The sequence below is a fragment of the Homo sapiens genome, chromosome 11 (genome assembly GCF_000001405.40).
Source record: "Homo sapiens chromosome 11, GRCh38.p14 Primary Assembly".
NCBI classification, from domain to species: domain Eukaryota; kingdom Metazoa; phylum Chordata; class Mammalia; order Primates; family Hominidae; genus Homo; species Homo sapiens.
In genome coordinates this window covers 46,867,446-46,888,804 of record NC_000011.10, presented here as the reverse complement: position 1 = coordinate 46,888,804, position 21,359 = coordinate 46,867,446, and the positions used below count along the sequence as shown (strand labels likewise).

Below are 21,359 nucleotides of genomic sequence, written 5' to 3'. Positions count from 1 at the left end.
GGGCATATGGCACGACCAGCAGGGCACCTGGGGTGATTCCTCACACATCAGCAGCTGTTCTTGTTTACTGCTGTGTACCCCACTGACCCTCTGAAATCTGGGTAAAATAAAATTCTCCTGGGACCTGGGTCCTTTCTAGAGAGTGTGGTTAGGGAAAACATTCAAAAGTTTCATTCATACACATATTAACTAAGAACCTAATTTCATTCTCTGAGTTTTCCCCTTGCATTCTTTTTTTTTTTTTTTTTTTTTTTTTGAGACAGTTTTGCTCTTGTCCAGGCTGGAGTACAATGGCACAGTCTCGGCTCACCACAACCTCCACTTCCCAGGTTCAAGCTATTCTCCTGCCTTAGCTTCCTGAATAGCTGGGATTACAAGCATGCGCCACCACACCTGGCTAATTTTGTATTTTTAGTAGGGACGGGGTTTCTCCATGTTGGTCTGGCTGGTCTCGAACTCCTGACCTCAGGTGATCCACCCACCTCAGCCTCCCAAAGTGCTGGCATTACAGGCATGAGCCACTGTGCCTGGCATTTTTTTTTTTTTTGTCCGCCTCCCGGGTTCAAGTGCTTCTCCTGCCTCAGCCTCCTGAGTAGCGGGGATTATAAGTGTGCACTACCACACCCAGCTAATTTTTGTATTTTTAGTAGAGATGAGGTTTCACCATGTTGGTCAGGCTGGTCTTGAACTCCTGACCTCATGACCTGCCCGCCTCTGCCTTCCAAAGTGTTGGGATTACAGGCATAAGCCACCGCCCCCGGCCTTTTTTTTTTTTTTTTTTTTTTTTTTTGAGACAGGGTCTTGCTCTGTCACCTAGGCTGGAGTGCAGTGGTGTAAACAGTGCTCACTGCAGCTTCGACTTCCTGGGCTTAAGCAAGCCTCCCGCCCCAGCCCCCTAAGTAGCTGGGACTACAGGCATACACTGTCACACCTGGCGAATTTTGTGGAGTTTTTTGTTTGTTTGTTTTGTTTTTGAGACAGAGTCTCACTCTGTCACCCAGGCTGGAGTGTGGCGGCATGATCTCGGCTCATTGTAACCTCCACCTCCCTGGTTCAAGCGATTCTTCTGCTTTGGGCTCCCAAGTAGCTGAGATTACAGGCACCTGCCACCATGCCTGGCTAATTTTTGTATTTTTAGTAGAGATGAGGTTTCACTATGTTGGCCAGGCTGGTCTCAAACTCCTGATCTCGTGATCTATCCACCTCAGCCTCCCAAAGTGCTGGGATTACAGGCGTGAGCCACTGTGCCCAGTGAATTTTGTATTTTTAGTAGAGACGGGGTTCCACTATGTTGCTCAGGCTGGTCTCAAACTCCTGAGCCCAAGCAATGACCCCACCTCAGCCCCTCAAAGTGCTGGGATTACAGGCATGAGCCACCATGCCTGGCCCTTTCCTCTTGCATTCTTTTGTGTCCAGCGCTTCCCCTGTTGTCTTAGTGAGATGCAAGAAGTAAAGCCCCCTGTCCCCTGACAGCTTCCCCTTAAGGATTTCCCAGCCCTAGGAAGAAGACATTTGGCAACATTAGTCAGGAAGTGCCTTTCTGGATAGAAAAGTCTACTGAGAAAGTATTCAGACTGACCAGAGGAAAGGCAGAGGATGGGGAAGAGCTGGCTGGAAGTAAACTACGTAGAGGAGTGGCCAGAGCTCTTTCTCTGGAGTCAGATCTGAGTCCTAGCTCTGGTGCTTTGTAGCCATGGGATCCTGGGCAAGTTTCTTGATCTCTATTAGCCTCAGGGTTGCTCGTCTAGAAAATGGGAATAAGAATAACACACGAGAGAGGCTTGGTGTGAGATCAAAAAAGCACCAAGCACAGTGCCTGGCAAGGAAAGTGCTCAGCTTAAGCTACTGGCTTAAAGTTGTAAAGAGGAGAGCAAGAGGAAGGGATCCAGGTGATGGAGTGGAGGGGCAGGAGCCCTGACACAGTCATGAACATCAGGGAAGTAGGGGTCAGGGGTTGGCAGTGGGCAAGCCAGGACACCAGAAGAGGTGGAGAAAAGTAAGAAGAGAGAAAAGTTGAGATGAAGCCGACAGATGCTTAAACAGCATGCACTTCTGGGACCTTAGTAGAGTCTGTTTCCATTTGATTTAGAAGTCTGATTCTGCTAGCATGGCAGTGCTTAAAAGAAGCCTGAGGTATAAAGTATAGGGGGCAAAGGGCACCAGATCCCAGGAAGTGTGATTGAACCAGATGTCACGCAGGTGAGCGTCTGTGTCTGTCACTGTTCTTGGATTTAGAGCATTAAAAGAAGACCCCTTTCGGCCTTTGATCAGGTCTTGACAAGTTCCTGCTTTTTGCCCGAAGGATGGACATCCGTCGAATCAGCTTTGACACAGAGGACCTGTCTGATGATGTCATCCCACTGGCTGACGTGCGCAGTGCTGTGGCCCTTGACTGGGACTCCCGGGATGACCACGTGTACTGGACAGATGTCAGCACTGATACCATCAGCAGGGCCAAGTGGGATGGAACAGGACAGGAGGTAGGGCCCAGCGTGGGGAGGTTGAAGGGTGGAATCCACCCTCTCCAGGGAAGGGCTTCCCATACCTTTGCCAACCTTGAGAATTGGTGGAGTTTGGGCTCCAGAACTAGAGTGGAAGTACAGTTGGTGATACAGCTTTGCTTCCTGCCCAGGTGGTAGTGGATACCAGTTTGGAGAGCCCAGCTGGCCTGGCCATTGATTGGGTCACCAACAAACTGTACTGGACAGATGCAGGTATGCATAGGGGAGCCGTGGCCTGCCTGGCTCCCTGGGATTCCTCTTGTTTAAAACCCTGGCCTCAGATAGAAGGAGCCCAGTGTCTCTCCTGGACCACTTCTGTCTTCACTTCAAGTCCTTGGTAGGTCAGAAGCCGGAGGGCTGCTGCAGAGCCGAAGTGAGAAGCTCCCACGTGAGAAGCTCACATTGTGGCAGCTGCTTCTGCTGTGTAGCTGATGCTGGGGAGTGTTTTAAGGCATTTCAGATCATGAACCTATGCCTTGTTTTCTTTCCATCGCTTTCTGGGTAAATCAGCCTTTTTTTTTTTTTTTTTTTGAGGCGGAGTCTTGCTCTGTCGCCAGGCTGGAGTGCAGTGGTGCGATCTCGGCTCACTGCAAGCTCCGCCTCCCGGGTTCATGCTGTTTTCTCCTGCCTCAGCCTCCCAAGTAGCTGGGACTACAGGCGTGCACCACCATGCCCGGCTAAGTTTTTGTATTTTAGTAGAGACGGGGTTTCACCATGTTGGCCAGGATGGTCTTGATCTCCTGACCTGGTGATCCACCCGCCTTAGCCTCCCAAAGTGCTGGGATTACAGGTGTGAGCCACCGCGCCTAGCCAAATCAGGCATTTTTAATTAGCCAGGTGGGTTTGGGAGGCAAGGGGATACCCTGAACAAGTGCTACTCAGAGCGTGGTTGCTGGACCACAGAGGCTGATGACAACCTTGCCTCCTCTGCGTGGCAGCATCAGCATCATCTGGGAAGTTGTTGGACATGCAGATTCTTGGGCCCCACCCTAGACTTACTGAATCAGGGCTGGGCATGGTGGCTCACACCTATAATCCTAGCGCTTTGGGGGACCAGGGCAAGATCTCTTGAGCTTAGGAGTTCAAGATCAGCCTGGGAAATATAGCAAGACCCCCACACGCATACACACATCCCCAATTTTTTTTTTTAATTAGCCTGGTGTAATGGCACATACCTGTAGTCCCAGCTACTTGGGAGGCTGAAGTGGGAGGATTGCTTGAATCCGGGAGTTCAAGGCTGCAGTGAGCCATGATCACACCACTGCATGCCAATCTAGGCAACAGAGCAAGAGCCTGTCTCCAAAAAACAAAAGTCAAGACTTACTGAATCAGAATCTTTGGGGGTTAGTGAGCATGAAATGGACTAGAATTTTTTTTTCTTTTTTAAATTTTGAGATGGAGTCTCGCTCTGCTGCCCAGGCTGGAGTGCAGCGGCGCAATCTCAGCTCACTGCAACCTCCACCTCCCTGGGTTCAAAGGATTCTTCTGCCTCAGCCTCCCGAGTAGCTGGGATTACAGGCGTGCACTACCACACCCAGCTAATTTTTTTTTTTTTTTTTTTTTTTTTGAGACGGAGTCTCACTCTGTCCCCCAGGCTGGAGTGCTGTGGCACGATCTCGGCTCACTGCAAGCTCCGCCTCCCAGGTTCACGCCATTCTCCTGCCTCAGCCTCCCAAGTAGCTGGGACTACAGGTGCCCGCCACGACGCCTGGCTAATTTTTTGTATTTTTTAGTAGAGACGGGGTTTCACCATGTTAGCCAGGATGGTCTCGATCTCCTAATCTCGTGATCCACCCGCCTCGGCCTCCCAAACTGCTGGGATTACAGGTGTGAGCCACTGCGCCCGGCCAATTTTTGTATTTTTAGTAGAGACGGGGTTTTACCATGTTGGTCAGGCTGGTCTTGAACTCCTGACCTCATGATCCACTTGCCTCGGCCTCTCAAAGTGCTGGGATTACAGGCGTGAGCCACCACGCCCGGCTGAATATTTTTATTTTAAAAAAAATCTTTGGGTGTTAGGTTCAGAAATCTGTGTTTTAACAAGCTCTCCTGATTCTTACGCACACTAAAGTTTGAGAATCATCGCCTTAAATTATGGTTGCCTATGTTTGGGAAGTCTTGCTCTTTCAAGAAATCCAACTGATCACATCCTTGAATTTCTTCTTGCAGTTCAAGTCACTAAATTTCCGTTGTGCATCTGTCACAAAATATCTTTTGAGCCCCTACTCTGTGCTCTGCTGGCGCATACCAGGCTCTTGTGTTGGCCATGGAAGGTAAGAGGGTGAATGAACAAGACTAGAATTAATCTCTGTATCCCTTCTTGATAGGTACAGACCGGATTGAAGTAGCCAACACAGATGGCAGCATGAGAACAGTACTCATCTGGGAGAACCTTGATCGTCCTCGGGACATCGTGGTGGAACCCATGGGCGGGTGAGTGGCTGCCCCTTGGGAATGAGCTCCATCCACCCCTCCCAAGATCTGAGCTCCAGAGAGGAGTCTAAAGATTAGGAAGAGTGACCAGATCTTATGGATATGCCCAAGGAAGCAAGAGCAGCTGTAGAAACCAGAGGCTGGTTGCCAAGACCAGCTCTGTCGGGGAGACCCTAACCCAGTGGTGCTAGAGGAATTAAAGATACACACACAGAACTATAGAGGTGTGAAGTAAGAAATCAGGGGTCTCACAGCCTTCAGAACTGAGAGCCCCCAACAGAGATTTACCCACATATTTATTAACAGCAAGCCAGTCATTAGCATTGTTTCTATAGATATTAACTAAAAGTATCCCTTATGGGAAATGAAGGGGTGGGCCGAATTAAAGAAATAGGTTGGGCTAGTTAAATGCAGCAGGAGCATGTCCTAAGGCACAGATAGCTCATGCTATTGTTTATGGCTTAAAAATGCCTTTAAGCAGTTTTCCTGCCCTGGGCAGGCCAGGTGTTCCTTGCCCTCATTCGGGTAAACCCACAACCTTCCAGTGTGGGCGTTATGGCCATCATGAACATGTCACAGTGCTGCAGAGATTTTGCTTATGGCCAGTTTTGGGGGCCAGTTTATGGCCAAATTTTGGGGGGCTTGTTCCCAACAGCTGGTGACAACTTTGTATTCTCTGTGGACAAGGAAACTTTTCAATTCTTTCTTTCCTTATCTTTTTTTTATTGTTGGTTTACTTGCAAAAGTAACTCATTGTTAAAAAAATTTAAATCTGTAGAAAGTAAAAATTCTCTGTGATCTCACTCTCCAGCAATAAGTTAACAGTTCAGGATATTTTTTTCCAGGTTTTCTTCTAAATGTATGTAAACATTTGTTGTTGGTGGTGATGGTTTTGGTTTTACAAAAATAGCATACTTTTTGTGACTTTTTTTCTGCTTGCCCTTATATCTTGTGTGTCTTTCCAGTTGAGTGTATAGATCTACCTTGTTTTTGTTGTTGTTGTTTGTTTGTTTTGAGACAGGGTCTTGCTCTGTGGCCCAGGATGGAGTGCAGTGGTGCAAATCACGGCTCACTGCAGCCTCAACCTCCTGGGCTCAAGCAATCCTCCTGCCTCAGCCTCCCAAGTAGCTGGGACTGCAGGCACAGACCACAATGCCTAGCTAATTTTTACAGTTTTTTTTTGTAGAGATGGGGTCTTGCTATGTTGTCTAGGCTGGTGTCAAACTTCTGAGCTAAAGCAATCGTCCTGCTTCAGCCTCCCAAAGTGTTGGGATTACAGGTGTGAGCCACTGCACCTGGCCTATGTTGTTCTTACTGGTTTTATAGAGTTCTGTTAACTTATTTAACCCATCCAGTCAAGAAACATTTCTCTTTTTGTTTTTTTCTTTTTTTTTTGAAACAGAGTCTCACTTGTTGCCCAGGCTGGAGTGCAGTGGCCCAGTCATGGCTCACTGCAGCCTTGACCTCCTGGATTCAAATGATCCTCCTATCTCAGCCTCTCAAGTAGCTGGGACCACAGATGTGCACCACCATATCTGGCCCTTTTTTTTTGGTAGAGATGGGATCCTACTATGTTGCCCAGGCTGGTCTCAAACTTCTGGGCTCAAGTGATACTCTCAGCCTCCCAAAGTGCTGAGATTATAGGCATGAACCATGGCGCCTGGCCAAGGAAATGTTTCTTATTCATTTTCACCCCTCCTCTTTCTTTATTCCCATGTACACTTTATTTGTGGAGTTTTGCTTAAGCTGTGGGCTCTGCTTTTATTAAGACTCTGTACCTTTTGATAGTAATAGAAGACAAGGCATTCAGAGATAGTGCTGAGCCCAGAGCTGGGCTGGACACTGATGCAGGAGGCTGAGGCTGATGAGGATCTGCTTCAGGCAGAAACCCTGAAATCCTAGGTACTCTGAGTCCCTGCTGGATATTAACTAGCTTGTAAGACCTGCCTTGCCTTGCCTTTGCCCAGGTACATGTATTGGACTGACTGGGGTGCGAGCCCCAAGATTGAACGAGCTGGCATGGATGCCTCAGGCCGCCAAGTCATTATCTCTTCTAATCTGACCTGGCCTAATGGGTTAGCTATTGATTATGGGTCCCAGCGTCTATACTGGGCTGACGCCGGCATGAAGACAATTGAATTTGCTGGACTGGATGGCAGTAAGAGGAAGGTAAGGGTGGCAGTAAGAGGAAGGTAAGGGTGGCACTAAAACATCTTCCCACAGCCTTGACAGCCTCCAGGACAGTACTTTTTGGCTGGCAGCTGATTGGAGATAAGGGGATCTGGAGGTTATGGGACCAGCATGGGGCATGTGCTGTTTCTCTGAGGCTGTAGGTGCTGTCCAGAGCTTGGGGGCAGGGGTGGGAAAGGGCTGCTGGTTGATGATGAAAAGAAACTAGGGACTTGTGTGGATTGTGAGCTGGGGGTGTAAATGCACAGAATTTCCTGTTAACCAGCACAACTAATGCTTGTTAAATTACCAGTTGCACTGTGGGCCTGTGATTCATCTCTTTTTGTTTTTGTTTTGGTATAATTTCAAACTTACAGAAAAGTTGCAAGAACAGGTAAAAAGAATAAATAAAATTTTGCCACATTTGCTTTATCATTCTGTTTCTGTACACACTCACTATTATTTTTTGGAACTGTCTGAAATTAGAGTGGAGACAGCCTGCCCTTGACTCCAGACTATTCCTGTGCACATTTCCTAAAAGCAAGGATGTTGTCTTACATCACCACAGTACAATGATCAAAATCAGGAAATCTAACATTGATCCAATATTACTGTCTTTTTTTTTTTTTTTTTTTTTTTTTTTGGTTTTTTAGAGGCAGGGTCATGCTGTGTCACCCAGGCTGGAGTGCAGTGGCACAATATTGGGTCACTGCACCCTCGACCTACTAGGATCCTGAGTAGCTGAGACTACACGCATGAGCCATAACGCCTGGCTAGTTTTTTTCTTTTTTTTTGGTAGAGACTTCCTGTATTACCCAGGCTAGTCTCAAACTTCTGGCCTCAAACGATCCTTCTGCCTCAGCCTCCCAAAGTGTTGGGATTATAGGCACGAGCCACCATGCCCGGCCCAATATTACTGTCTAATCATAGTCCTTGCCCAATTTCACTACCAATTGCCTCAGTGATGTCCTTTATAGCTCCTCCCACCCCACTTTTTTTCTTTGTTAATCTAGGATCCAATCAGGATCACCCATTGTGTTTAGTAATTACGTCTCTTTTAATTTTTATTTATTTATTTATTTTTAGACACTCACTCCGTGGCCCAGGCAGGAGTGTAGTGCCACAAACATGGCCCACTGTAACTGCGACCTCCTGGCCCAAGGGATCCTCCCACGTAGCTGGGACCACAGGCACCTACTACTGCACCCTAGCTACTCAGGAGCCTACGGGTTTGAGGCCACTCGGCTGATTTTTTTATTTTTTGTAGAGATGGGGGTCTCACTTTGTTGTCTAGGCTAGTCTTGAACTCCTAGGCTCAAGCAATCCTCCTGCTTTGACCTCCCAAAGTGTTGGGTTTATAGGCATGAGCCACCACACATAGCTTTTTTTTTTTTTTTTTTTGAGACTGCAGTCTTGGTGTGTTGCCCATGCTGACCTGGGCTCAGGTGATCCTCCCATCTGAGGCTCCTGAGTAGCTGGAGCTGTGCGCCACCGGGCCCAACTAATCTAGTCTCTTTACTCTCTAATCTGGAACATTTCCTCAGCTTTTCTGTGACTTTATTGACATTTGCATTTTTTGTTTGTTTGTTTTGTTTTGAGACAAGAGTCTTGCTCTGTCGCCCAGACTGGCGTGCAATGGTGCGATCTCAGCTCACTGCAATCTCTGTCTCCCGGGTTCAAGCAATTCTCCTGCCTCAGCCTCCCAAGTAGCTGGGATTATAGGCACCCGCTACCACGCCCAGCTAATTTTTGTATTTTTAGTAGAGACAGGGTTTCGCCATGTTGGCCAGGCTAGTCTCGAACTCCTGACCTCAGGTGATCTGCCCACCTGGACCTCCCAAAGTGGACATTTGCATTTTTAAAGAGTAAAGGCCAGTTATTTTTTATAATGTCTCTCAACTTGGATTTATCTAATGTTTCCTTGTGATTGGATTCAGAGTGTGCATTTGCAGCAGGAATACTACACTAAGTGAAGTCATGTCCTTGAGTTCTCAGTGTGTCTCATCAGTAGACACAGGTGTTGGCCTGTTCCGTTATTGTGATACTTACTGCCATTGTATGGTTAAGGTAGTGTCCACTGTAAAGTTGCTATTTTTTAATTTTGTACTTAATAAGTAATTTGTCCAGAGATACTTTGAGATGATGTGAGTAATAGATGACTTCCAACATCTTCCAATAAAACCATCACACGACCCTTAGAGCCAGGCATGATCAAGTCACAGATTGATAGAGCAAGGCTCAGAGAGATTTTATAAGTAGCTCTTACTGGAGGTCACCCAGTAGGTGTTAGTGGGAGAGCTGCTTTCTGAGTCCACAGTGAGCTCTTTGCCACTGCTCTGTACTGTCAGACTTTGTTGAAGATGACACAGTGTTGGGGCCCTGGCAGGTGCTGATTGGAAGCCAGCTCCCCCACCCATTTGGGCTGACCCTCTATGGAGAGCGCATCTATTGGACTGACTGGCAGACCAAGAGCATACAGAGCGCTGACCGGCTGACAGGGCTGGACCGGGAGACTCTGCAGGAGAACCTGGAAAACCTAATGGACATCCATGTCTTCCACCGCCGCCGGCCCCCAGGTGAGCAGCCCTTGGCTCGCATTGGCTTCTCCGTGGCCCTCCTATGCCCTAGCTCTCCCCATTGAACATCCCCTCCTCTCTACCCAGTGTCTACACCATGTGCTATGGAGAATGGCGGCTGTAGCCACCTGTGTCTTAGGTCCCCAAATCCAAGCGGATTCAGCTGTACCTGCCCCACAGGCATCAACCTGCTGTCTGATGGCAAGACCTGCTCACCAGGTGAGTGAAAGCATCACAGATCTAGATGCAGCCTCTCTGGGAGGGGGCAATGGCTCTCTTCCTTCCTTGCAGATGGGCTCCAATGTGGTCTGAGAAACCATGAGTCCTGCTGCTTCTAGAGGCCCAGGGGAGAGACTCACGGCTTTTAGAAAAGGGGACGGGCCTGGGGAGAGGCCCTGGGGAGCAAGTAGAAAGGACTGGAGGCAGGGTCCAACTAGTTCTTATGATGTCTTCATGCATATTAGATAAAGATGCTCCTTTCTCAAGACACTTTCCTCTCATCTCTTAGTACATTGTCATAATATACTGATTTGGTTGGAATAAGACACTTCTGGCTGGGCACGGTGGCTCATGCCTGTAATCCTAGCACTTTGGGAGGCCAAGGCAGGCAAATCACTAGAGGTCAGGAGTTCAAGACCAACCTGGCCAACATGGTGAAACCTCGTCTCTACTGAAAATACAAAAATTAGCCAGGCATGGTGGCGCGTAATCCCAGCTACTTGGGAGGCTAAGGCAGAAGAATTGCTTGAACCTGGGAGGTGAAGGTTGCAGTGAGCAGAGATCACGCCACTGCACTCCAGCCTGGGTGACAGAGTGAGACTCTGTCTCAAAAAAAAAAAAAAAAAAAAAAAGACACTTCTAACTGCCCAAAATTGGTATAATAAAAACAGAAATGTATGATATCTACAATGTCACAGTACCCTCCTCCTTAGATGTGCCACTTTTGTGAGTGCACAACCTATGTGACAACCTTATTGGAGGGTCCCAGAAGCAGTACCTGGCTACCCAGATGTCGGAAGTCAAGGCTTCTCCCTAGGAGATGCTGCAGGGTAGGCTGCATTTGAACTCTAACCTCCCTGGGAATTTGAGTGAGAAAGGAGCTGTGAACTGTGCCTCTCAGGTTGTGAGTAAAGCCCCCTGGGGTCCCTTTATTCCCTTTCTTTTTTTCTCTTTCTTAATCTTCATGGTAAAGGGTCCTTCAAAGAGAGCCACTTTCATAATATTAATAAAGAGGCATTATTTATGAATATGTGTGAGACCTAATGGTAAGTGCTTTATGTACATGATCTTTTAACCCTTACAGCCACCCCATTATTGTCCCCATTTTATAGATAAGAAAACTGAGGCCTAATAATTTAAGCTGAGAGTAGTGGCTCATGCCTGTAATCCCAGCACTTTAGGAGGCTGAGGTGGGCAGAGGCTTGAGCCCAGGAGTTTCAGACCAGCCTGGGCAATATGACGAAACCCCATCTCTACAAAAAAATACAAAAATTAGCTGGGCATGGTGGTGTGTGCCTGTAGTCCCAGCTACTCAGGGGGCTGAGGTGGGAGGATCGCTTGAGCTCAGGAGGTCAAGGCTGCAGTAAGCCATGATCATGCCAGTGCACTCCAGCCTGGGCGACACAGCAAGACCCTGTCTCAAAAAATAATAATAATTTAAATAACTTGCCTAGAATAACATAGCTAGAAACTAGCAGGGACAGGGCATGAGTTTCAGTTTGCCTGATTCCAAATCCATTTAATGGCTGTGCTCGAGTGATCCTCTTCCCTCCTCTCCACCTGGCAGGCATGAACAGTTTCCTCATCTTCGCCAGGAGGATAGACATTCGCATGGTCTCCCTGGACATCCCTTATTTTGCTGATGTGGTGGTACCAATCAACATTACCATGAAGAACACCATTGCCATTGGAGTAGACCCCCAGGAAGGTCTGTATGGCCCTCTCTTCCCACCTGGCCTTCTGTCCCTGCCCTTCAACAATTACTGTCTTTCCTCTCCCACCACCTTTGTCTCCTGCCAAGAGCCAGGGTGTTTGTTCCCCATTCCCTCTGGCATAGCCCCTGTCCCTGTCTCTCTAGCACTCTCTCTTTGGTTGTGAGAGCATGGTTTGGGGCCCTCTTCTCTCCGTCTCTGCCAAGAGCTATCCTGCTATGATATTTCTGCGTTTTCCTTGATTTCCTCTGCTAGAGGCTCCAGAGCTCTCTGACATGCTCTGGTGTTTCAAGACATGAATCAGCTGTGTGTGTCCCATTGTAGGCGGTGAGGGTCTAGGTTGAGCCAAGCTTTCCCTCTCCAGGAAAGGTGTACTGGTCTGACAGCACACTGCACAGGATCAGTCGTGCCAATCTGGATGGCTCACAGCATGAGGACATCATCACCACAGGTGGGCCTTCCTCCTAGCCCAGGGACCACCTGTCTGGCAACAGGGCTGGGGAAATAGCCCATCTGTTTTAAAATAGGAGCCAGTGTGCTCTTTTGACTTCCCACAGGGCTACAGACCACAGATGGGCTCGCGGTTGATGCCATTGGCCGGAAAGTATACTGGACAGACACGGGAACAAACCGGATTGAAGTGGGCAACCTGGACGGGTCCATGCGGAAAGTGTTGGTGTGGCAGAACCTTGACAGTCCCCGGGCCATCGTACTGTACCATGAGATGGGGTGAGAGCTGGCTGTATCGCACTGGGTAGTGTGGGGGGCCAGCTCAGCTGGGGTTATGACGGGGTAAAGGTGGGTAGTGGAGAGGAAGCTTGCATCACAGAAACAAGGTGACCTCCCTGGGGCTCTTCCACTCTCTTGTGACTTCTCGCAGGGTGACAGTACAGTGTAGAAGTTAAAAGCATGAGCCTTGAATCAGAATACCAGGATTGAAATGTTTTCATCATGTATTAGCTATATCACTTGGGTCCGGTATTTAACCTCTCTAATTCTCAGCTTCCTTACCTATTAAATGGAGGTGGTAGTGAAAATACATACCTTGTGGCCCTTATGAAGGTTGAGATAATGCACATGAAGTATTTTGCAAAGTACTTTGTCAAGCAAAAATTTTGCCTGACATACTGTAAGTACTCAAGTGTATCTGACATACTGTTAAGTATTCATGGTATGTGGTAGCTGCTGGAATAACTAGCTAATATAGCTAATATTCTTCCTCACTCAGGTTTATGTACTGGACAGACTGGGGGGAGAATGCCAAGTTAGAGCGGTCCGGAATGGATGGCTCAGACCGCGCGGTGCTCATCAACAACAACCTAGGATGGCCCAATGGACTGACTGTGGACAAGGCCAGCTCCCAACTGCTATGGGCCGATGCCCACACCGAGGTGAGAGCCGTGTCCCTGCTGCTTCCCAGGAGCCTGGGAAGATGGGAAAGGCCTGCCTAGGATCTCCATGGAGAGTTCCCAATCTGCTGATCACCACCCCCCACCCTCTCCTTCCTCTGCAGCGAATTGAGGCTGCTGACCTGAATGGTGCCAATCGGCATACATTGGTGTCACCGGTGCAGCACCCATATGGCCTCACCCTGCTCGACTCCTATATCTACTGGACTGACTGGCAGACTCGGAGCATCCACCGTGCTGACAAGGGTACTGGCAGCAATGTCATCCTCGTGAGGTCCAACCTGCCAGGCCTCATGGACATGCAGGCTGTGGACCGGGCACAGCCACTAGGTGAGAGTCAGAGGGCTGGGGCTGTGAGTCAGAGCCTCTGGCTTTCTGGGGCCATCTCAACATCAGAGATATATCCAGAGCACAGAGCTCCTTTACAGCCAGAAAGACGGTGACCTGTTTAAGCTCCCTTCCAGATTGGGCTGTGTTCTCTCTGGGTATGGCTGGTACTACAGCTGTCACCTTCAAAGGACTCCTGGAGATCCTCCTGCAGACCCTCCTTCTACCTCACCCTGCCAGGCACTGAATCCTGTCACTTAGAACAGCAAAGAGCCAGCCACAAACAACTGGGACCTTTGTAAGATTCAGATGATGTTCCAGGCTAGGTGTGAATACTTGTGCTTCTCATCACCAGGTTTTAACAAGTGCGGCTCGAGAAATGGCGGCTGCTCCCACCTCTGCTTGCCTCGGCCTTCTGGCTTCTCCTGTGCCTGCCCCACTGGCATCCAGCTGAAGGGAGATGGGAAGACCTGTGATCCCTCTCCTGAGACCTACCTGCTCTTCTCCAGCCGTGGCTCCATCCGGCGTATCTCACTGGACACCAGTGACCACACCGATGTGCATGTCCCTGTTCCTGAGCTCAACAATGTCATCTCCCTGGACTATGACAGCGTGGATGGAAAGGTCTATTACACAGATGTGTTCCTGGATGTTATCAGGTATGAGCAACACTGAAACCTCCAGAAGACACAGATTTGCTTCTGGTCGCCCATGGGTGAGGTTGTGTTCTGACCACTAAATGGATGAGTGATTTGGCACTTTGGATAGTGAGTTTTAATCCTGACTTGTTCACTTTGTAGTGTTGTCACTTACAGCAGAGTTTCAAACTTTCATTTGTTTAGAGATTATATGGAAGCCTAGTATGTAAAACAAACAACAACAACAAAAAAAACAGGTAAAGTCAGGGGACCTGGAGACTTTCACATCTACCATTGTGCCCTGAGGGAGCTCCAAGAATCCCCTAGGACTTACTGATGAGTAGGCCATATAACCAGTATCTGTATTGCAGTAAAGGAGCCCCAATCAAATGCCAAGTCTTATGGTGGTTTACAAAGCTGTTGTTTTTTATTTTTTCGTTGTTTTATTTTTAGTCTTTAAATTTGTGGCCCTAACACAGCTTAGGAATATGATGTCCTGCCACCAGTAAGAGTGGTTTACCATGGCAGATATTCTCACATGGAGGAACAGGGAACATTCCCCTTTGCTCTCCCCAAGGGATGTATTAGAATCTCAAACTGGGGACAGGTAGGCATATACAGTTTAGGGAAGTCCCCTAGGTGACAGTGACATGCTCCCCATTCTGAGGTAGAGTTCCCTCCTGCCCATAGGGCCTTTGCAAAAGTGCACAATTAGGGTCTGGCGTGGTAGCTCGCGCCTATAATCCCAGCACTTTGGGAGGCCAAGGCGGGAAGATTGCTTGAGCCCAGGAGTTCAAGACCAGCCTAGGCAACATAATGAAACCTCATATCTACTTGTATTTAAAATTGTTTTTAACTTTTAAAAAATGCACAGGTTGGTTTTGACAAATCTGCGTTTCTTATCATCACCACCTAGCAATCCTTGTCTCTTCCCAAAGGTATGTGGGGAATGATAAACTTGTCTTCTAGCAAGACATCCCCTGGCAACCGCCACTATGTCCAGTTAGCAGGAAATACTGTGTCCTCCTAAGAACTGGTTCCTTCATTCTGCAATTATTTTATTGAACATCTATCATGCTGGGTGCTGAGGAATGTACTCATAGATACCTGGTCTCTATCCCTGTGGAGCTTACAGTTCAGTGGGGTCCAGTTATGGGAACATGGGTTAAAGTTCTACTCTATTCTGGGTCAGTCTGGTTGCTCATCCAACACTGGGCTCTCCCCAAGGCGAGCAGACCTGAACGGCAGCAACATGGAGACAGTGATCGGGCGAGGGCTGAAGACCACTGACGGGCTGGCAGTGGACTGGGTGGCCAGGAACCTGTACTGGACAGACACAGGTCGAAATACCATTGAGGCGTCCAGGCTGGATGGTTCCTGCCGCAAAGTACTGATCAACAATAGCCTGGATGAGCCCCGGGCCATTGCTGTTTTCCCCAGGAAGGGGTAAGTTTATGGCCAGCAGAAGAGAGATCCAGGGAAGAAGGGCTGGGTGGAAAGATGGTGTTAGTGGGTCCTCTGTGTTCTCTCAACCTCTGGGTGCTGTCTTCCCATGCCTTGATGATGATGGCACTGTTGTGTCTCAGGTACCTCTTCTGGACAGACTGGGGCCACATTGCCAAGATCGAACGGGCAAACTTGGATGGTTCTGAGCGGAAGGTCCTCATCAACACAGACCTGGGTTGGCCCAATGGCCTTACCCTGGACTATGATACCCGCAGGTGGGAGTCTTGCATCAAACAGCCTCCTGGAAATCGGGTGGGCAGAAGAGAGAATGGTTGAGATTAACCTTGGAAAAATGAAAAGATAGAAAGCTTCTTGGTATGTGGGGAAGAGGAATCATTGAGAAGGATAAGGGAATATATTCTTAGAGCAGCGATTGCTAAATCCAGCCCTCAACCCTTATGTGGGTTTTGTTTGGCTGGTTTACATGTTCCTAATTTGAGTGCCTTTGGCAGAGCATGTCTTCTGGCTGGACCACAGGTCTCACACCCCTACTCATTTAAGGGCTGATTCTTATATTTGTTATAATATAACAAATCCTGATCCCTTCAGGCTCTGGAACTTTGTTGTTGTTGAGACAGCATCTTGCTCTGTTGCCCAGGCTGGAGTGCAGTGGCGCAGTCACAGCTCTCTGCAGCCTGAACCTCCCTGGCTCAAGCCATCTTCTTACCTCAGCCTCTCAAGTAGCAGGGACTATAGGCACATGCCACCATGCCCAGCTAATTTCTAAATTTTTTGTAGAGACAGCATCTCGCTATGTTGCCCAGGCTGGTCTCGAACTCCTGGACTCAAGCAATCCTACTGCCTTGGCTTCCCAAAGTGCTGGGATTTCAGGCATGAGCCACCACGCCCGACCCAGGCTCCGGAATGTACAACTCCTTGTCTAGATAAGAAATGCTAAGGGCAGGGGGAAGGGGCTCTAAAGCAGTCTGTGCCCCCTTCTGATCCAAAAGAAGGGGAAGGGAATCCAAGACTTCTGGAAAGGTGGTAGAATGCCTTCTTCTTTTAACCTCAGCAAGGTCCATGTAGACTGGGCTCACTTCCTTTTTTGTTGTTGTTGTTGAGACAGAGTCTAACTCTTTTGCCCAGGCTGGAGTGCAGTCGCACGATCTCGGCTCACTGCAACCTCCGCCTCCTGGGTTTAAGCCATTCTCGTGCCGCAGCCTCCCAAGTAGCTAGGATTACAGGCACGTGTCACCACGCCTGGCTAATTTTTGTATTTTAGCAGAGACGGGGTTTCACCATGTTGGCCAGGCTGATCTCGAACTCCTGACCTCAAGTGATCCCCCGCCTCGGCCTCCCAAAGTGCTGGGATTACAAGCGTGAGCCACCATGCCCGGCCGAGTGAGCTCTCTTCTTAAAGACCATTTGTAAGAAATTGGGCTTTGATTATTGGGTAGGAGTCAAAGGGCAATCAAATTCCTGAAGATGAGGCTGGGTGGTGGTTCCTCTGAGGTCACTAGACTTTCTATGCCTCCCCAGAGCAGCCCTGACCTCCCCACTCATGAACCACCAGCTCCCTTCTTCAGCTTTGGGACTCACAATGACCCCTCATCGAGGGTGCTTCTTGAGTTCTCATAGCATCTGCCAGTCAGCTCAGGAGGGGACAAACAGGTTCATAGGGGGAAGAGCTGGGCTCCCTGGCAAGCGTTTGGAGCAGCCACTCTTTTCATTTTCTTCGCAGGATCTACTGGGTGGATGCGCATCTGGACCGGATCGAGAGTGCTGACCTCAATGGGAAACTGCGGCAGGTCTTGGTCAGCCATGTGTCCCACCCCTTTGCCCTCACACAGGTACTGGCTCAGGAGAGAGGTAACTAAACCTCCTTGACTGGGATGTTTCTTTGGGGTTCTAAGTCAGCAGTCTCAGCTATAGCTGCTACTGAACAGACGTGCTATTGCAGCTCATTTTAGGGATTTTTCCTGTGCCCTGAAGCCTTGGTAGGTTGGTAGGGCCACCGAGTGCCTTGCTACTCTTATCCTGCCATTCCCATGTTCTAGCATTCAAAGGAGTGGCTCTCAAAGAGTGGTATACAGAATCCGATATGGTGCTTGTTAAAATGCAGGTTCCTAGGCCCTGACTATAGAGATTATAGAGAAGCTGCTTCATGAGGGCTGGGCACAGTAAAATACATTTTGACAAGTTCCCCAGTTAATCCTAATGCTGCGGTCCCAGCATCTGGGCATAGGGAGCTCACTTAGTGGCAACAGGGTGGAGTGGCTAAAAGCCAGAGTTTTGAGGCATCTAGCCAGTTTGTAAGTATTTAATGAGTACCATCAATTTGCCAGGTACCTGGATTCAAGTTCTATCTGTATTATTAAATAACTGTGTAACTTTGAACTAGAGTGACTGAACCTCTCTCAGCTTCAGTTATCTATAAAATAAATCAGCCTAATAATAGTATCCTCCTGAAATAGACACAAAGCATTAGCATAGTACCTGGCACACAGTAAGCACCACATACATGTTATCGCTACCCATTTTAATTATTATTAGCTGTCACTTTTGAGTTCTAACACAAAAAATAATTTGGGCCAGGAAAAGAAGATCTACCAAGCCTGAGGCCAACAGGAATTCTCGATCATTTAAAAATCTTGGCCAGGTGTAGTGGCTTATGCCTGTAATCACAGCACTCTGGCTGAGGCCAGAGTATCACTTGAGCCCAAGAGTTTGAGACCAGACTGGGCAACATGGCGAGACCCTATCTCTATAAAATTTTTTGTTAAATTAGCCAGGTGTGCTGGTACACACCTGTAGTCTCAGCTACTCAGGAGGCTGAGGCAGGAGGATCGCTTGAGCCCAGGAGGTCGAGCTGCAGTGAGCTACATTTGTACCACTGTGCTCCAACTTGGGCAACAGAGCAAGATGCTATCTCAGAGAGGAGAGTCAGAGAAAGAGAGACAGAAAGGAAAGAAGAAAGGAAAGAAAAGAAAGAGAAATAAATTTGACCCTTTTTTGCCAAATATTGTCAACTCTGTCTGTATTCTATATTATGTCCCACTAGCCAAAAAGCATTTTTTTTGTTTGTTTTGTTGTTGTTGTTGTTTTTAAGATGGAGTCTTGCTGTGTCGCCCAGGCTGGAGTGCGGTGGTGTGATCTCAGCTCACTGCAACCTCCGCTTCCTAGATTCAAGCAATTCTCCTGCCTCAGCCTCCCGAGTAGGTGGGATTACAGGCATGTGCCACCACACCTGGTGAATTTTTTTTTTTTTTGAGATGGAGTCTCGCTCTGTCACCCAGGCTGGAGTGCAGTGGTGCGATCTTGGCTCACTACAACCCCCACCTCCTGGGTTCAAGTGACTCTCCTGCCTCAGCCTCCTGAGTAGCTGGGATTACAGGTGCGTGCCACCATACCCAGCTAATTTTTGTATTTTTAGTAGAGACAGGGTTTCACCATGTTGGTCAGGCTGGTTTCGAACTCCTGACCTCATGATCGCCCACCTTGGCCTCCCAAAGTGCTGGGATTACAGGCATGAGCCACCGCACCTGGCCTAGCCAAAAAGATTTTATCTGGTTTTACTTAATGATAGTCTTTTTTTTTCATATTCTAAATGTAAAACTACAGGGTACTACTGCATATAGGTTTTTCAGTCTACAGGTTTCCCCACAGTTTCTGATATATACCCTTGGATGAGGATGAGAACACCTTCATTGCCCCTCCCTCCCCTTGATTGAGAATTTCACCATCATTGCTTTAGAAGAAAGCTGCCTACAGAAGTAAAGAGAGGATTTGGGGCAGTGCTCTGAGCAAAGGGCCCAGAGGAACAGGAACCTATAAGAACCTTCAAATTTCCTCCTATTTGCTAGAGAGGGAGTCATTCAATCAACTAAATGGGGACTGAGTGTTAGGTGCTAGAATTCAGAGATGAATAGAACACATTCTTGTCCTTGAAGAACTAAACTGGTAGGATGGACAGACCAGTAAACAAATTGCTTGAGTGTAAAAATGTACTTGGGCAAGTGACTATAAGGTGCAGAACTGTATAGAGGAGAGAATGGTGAAGTCTATATGGATTTGGGGAGATTTCCTTGACAATGTCATGTCTGTTGATGCACAGAAATGAGGAAGAGATGAAGAGGGCATTTCAGCAGAGGCAGTGGCACATGGTGAGGCACAGAAGCTGTACAGGAAGGAGTCTGCTTGCTGAATAATATTTACTGTTTTTGGGCTTCCCCTGTTGAGTAGCAAGACAGGTGGATCTACTGGACAGACTGGCAGACCAAGTCAATCCAGCGTGTTGACAAATACTCAGGCCGGAACAAGGAGACAGTGCTGGCAAATGTGGAAGGACTCATGGATATCATCGTGGTTTCCCCTCAGCGGCAGACAGGTGGGCTCCCGGGTACTGAGCCTGCTTCCTTAACATCTGTGGGATTGGTCGGTCAACCCAAGGACTGTTAGGGACCAAGACAGTTAGGGCCACAAGAGAGCTTCTTGGTTCACATTTTAAACGCTTAGAACTTTTTACTCCCTCGCGGTTGTATCTCTCCTCCTCCCCTGTCCCTGGGAGTAGGGTAATCCTGGATTTCCTCTGTTTTTGAGAAGCCTTAAATTGGGAGACCTGATTCTGTCCCAGATAAGACATTCATCTACTTTGCCTCCAGGGACCAATGCCTGTGGTGTGAACAATGGTGGCTGCACCCACCTCTGCTTTGCCAGAGCCTCGGACTTCGTATGTGCCTGTCCTGACGAACCTGATAGCCGGCCCTGCTCCCTTGGTGAGTTGGACTGTATGGCTGGAGCCACTCGGCAGAGCCCCTGGAAGGGCTGAGAGTCAGCAGCCTCTGATACTGGTCTGATCTGTCCTTCTGGGTGGGATCCCCATAAAGAAGGTCTTATTAGTGGAGTGATTGGTAGCAGTCTGCTTGGGTTTTGGGAATTGCTCAAACCTGGGTTTGTCTGCCCTCTGGCATTTGCAGGAACAGAATTCAGGTCTCTTGATTCCCAGGTCCCTGCTGTGGGATAATCAGTGGCCTGTGCATCACTCTCTCTTCCTGACTGGTGAGCCAGCTGTCCCATCCAGAGCTATTATTATTGAATCCAACTCCTTTTTATTGATAGTATTAAGAAGGGCTACTAATGAAGGTGCCTGGGACTAGGGCAGCTAAAAGATTGTTTTGTCAAGTTCTCCAGCTGCTACTCTTGGGCCATATGTAGATGTTTATGGTTCCAGTGGCCCACTCCAATCCTCTTTTTTGTCTAGTGCCTGGCCTGGTACCACCAGCTCCTAGGGCTACTGGCATGAGTGAAAAGAGCCCAGTGCTACCCAACACACCACCTACCACCTTGTATTCTTCAACCACCCGGACCCGCACGTCTCTGGAGGAGGTGGAAGGAAGGTAAATAGGTTCAATGCAGGATCATGGGCCCTTTGATTCAAATCACCATCCCATGACCAACTCATAGTCCCAGCTTGATAAGGCAGTTGGGAGATAGATTATGTCAGGAGCTACCAGTCCCTGTTATTTGGGACAGAAGGTGATATTCAGACTTGTAGATTGTTACAAGTGATTCCCTTTTTAGCTCTGAGGGCAAGAAGCTTTAAGAACAACTTTAAGGCTGGGTGTGGTGGCTCACGCCTGTAATCCCAGCACTTTGGGAGGCTGAGGCGGGTGGATCACTTGAGGTCGGGAGTTGGAGACCAGCCTGCCCAACATGGAGAAACCCCGTTTCCACTAAAAATACAAAATTAGCTGAGCGTGGTGGCACATGCCTGTAATCCCAGCTACTCTGGAGGCTGAGACAGGAGAATCACTTGAACCCAGGAGGCGGAGGTTGCGGTGAGCCGAGATCGCGCCATTACACTCCAGCCTGGGCAACAAAGAGCGAAACTCCATCTCAAAAACAAAACAAAACAAAATAAAACAACAAA

The 21,359-nt window shown here is 48.4% G+C and overlaps 1 protein-coding gene and 1 long non-coding RNA gene across 5 annotated transcripts in view; one reads left to right on the top strand and one right to left on the bottom strand.

The window, feature by feature from the left end:
* LRP4 (LDL receptor related protein 4) overlaps nucleotides 1-21,359 on the top strand; it is a 61,834-nt gene that overhangs the window by 29,746 nt on the left and 10,729 nt on the right. For 3 of the 4 annotated variants that reach the window (NM_002334.4, XM_017017734.2, XM_011520103.3), the window contains 18 exons: nucleotides 2,272-2,480; nucleotides 2,633-2,714; nucleotides 4,829-4,934; nucleotides 6,902-7,103; nucleotides 9,490-9,679; nucleotides 9,767-9,898; nucleotides 11,466-11,606; nucleotides 11,975-12,061; nucleotides 12,168-12,339; nucleotides 12,839-13,001; nucleotides 13,124-13,349; nucleotides 13,702-14,005; nucleotides 15,212-15,430; nucleotides 15,571-15,705; nucleotides 17,172-17,280; nucleotides 19,673-19,817; nucleotides 20,092-20,205; nucleotides 20,691-20,826. In NM_002334.4, coding sequence (NP_002325.2) covers nucleotides 2,272-2,480; nucleotides 2,633-2,714; nucleotides 4,829-4,934; nucleotides 6,902-7,103; nucleotides 9,490-9,679; nucleotides 9,767-9,898; nucleotides 11,466-11,606; nucleotides 11,975-12,061; nucleotides 12,168-12,339; nucleotides 12,839-13,001; nucleotides 13,124-13,349; nucleotides 13,702-14,005; nucleotides 15,212-15,430; nucleotides 15,571-15,705; nucleotides 17,172-17,280; nucleotides 19,673-19,817; nucleotides 20,092-20,205; nucleotides 20,691-20,826 — 2,872 coding nt within the window. Of the gene's footprint in view, nucleotides 1-231; nucleotides 2,200-2,271; nucleotides 2,481-2,632; nucleotides 2,715-4,828; nucleotides 4,935-6,901; nucleotides 7,104-9,489; nucleotides 9,680-9,766; nucleotides 9,899-11,465; nucleotides 11,607-11,974; nucleotides 12,062-12,167; nucleotides 12,340-12,838; nucleotides 13,002-13,123; nucleotides 13,350-13,701; nucleotides 14,006-15,211; nucleotides 15,431-15,570; nucleotides 15,706-17,171; nucleotides 17,281-19,672; nucleotides 19,818-20,091; nucleotides 20,206-20,690; nucleotides 20,827-21,359 lie in introns of those variants that run through there. The other variant, XM_011520104.3, reaches the window with a different exon arrangement.
* Nucleotides 14,389-21,359, bottom strand: part of LRP4-AS1 (LRP4 antisense RNA 1) — a 28,006-nt gene continuing 21,035 nt past the window's right edge. The window contains exon 3 of the long non-coding RNA NR_038909.1: nucleotides 14,389-15,731. This is a non-coding gene — a long non-coding RNA (LRP4 antisense RNA 1). The remainder of the gene's footprint in view (nucleotides 15,732-21,359) is intronic.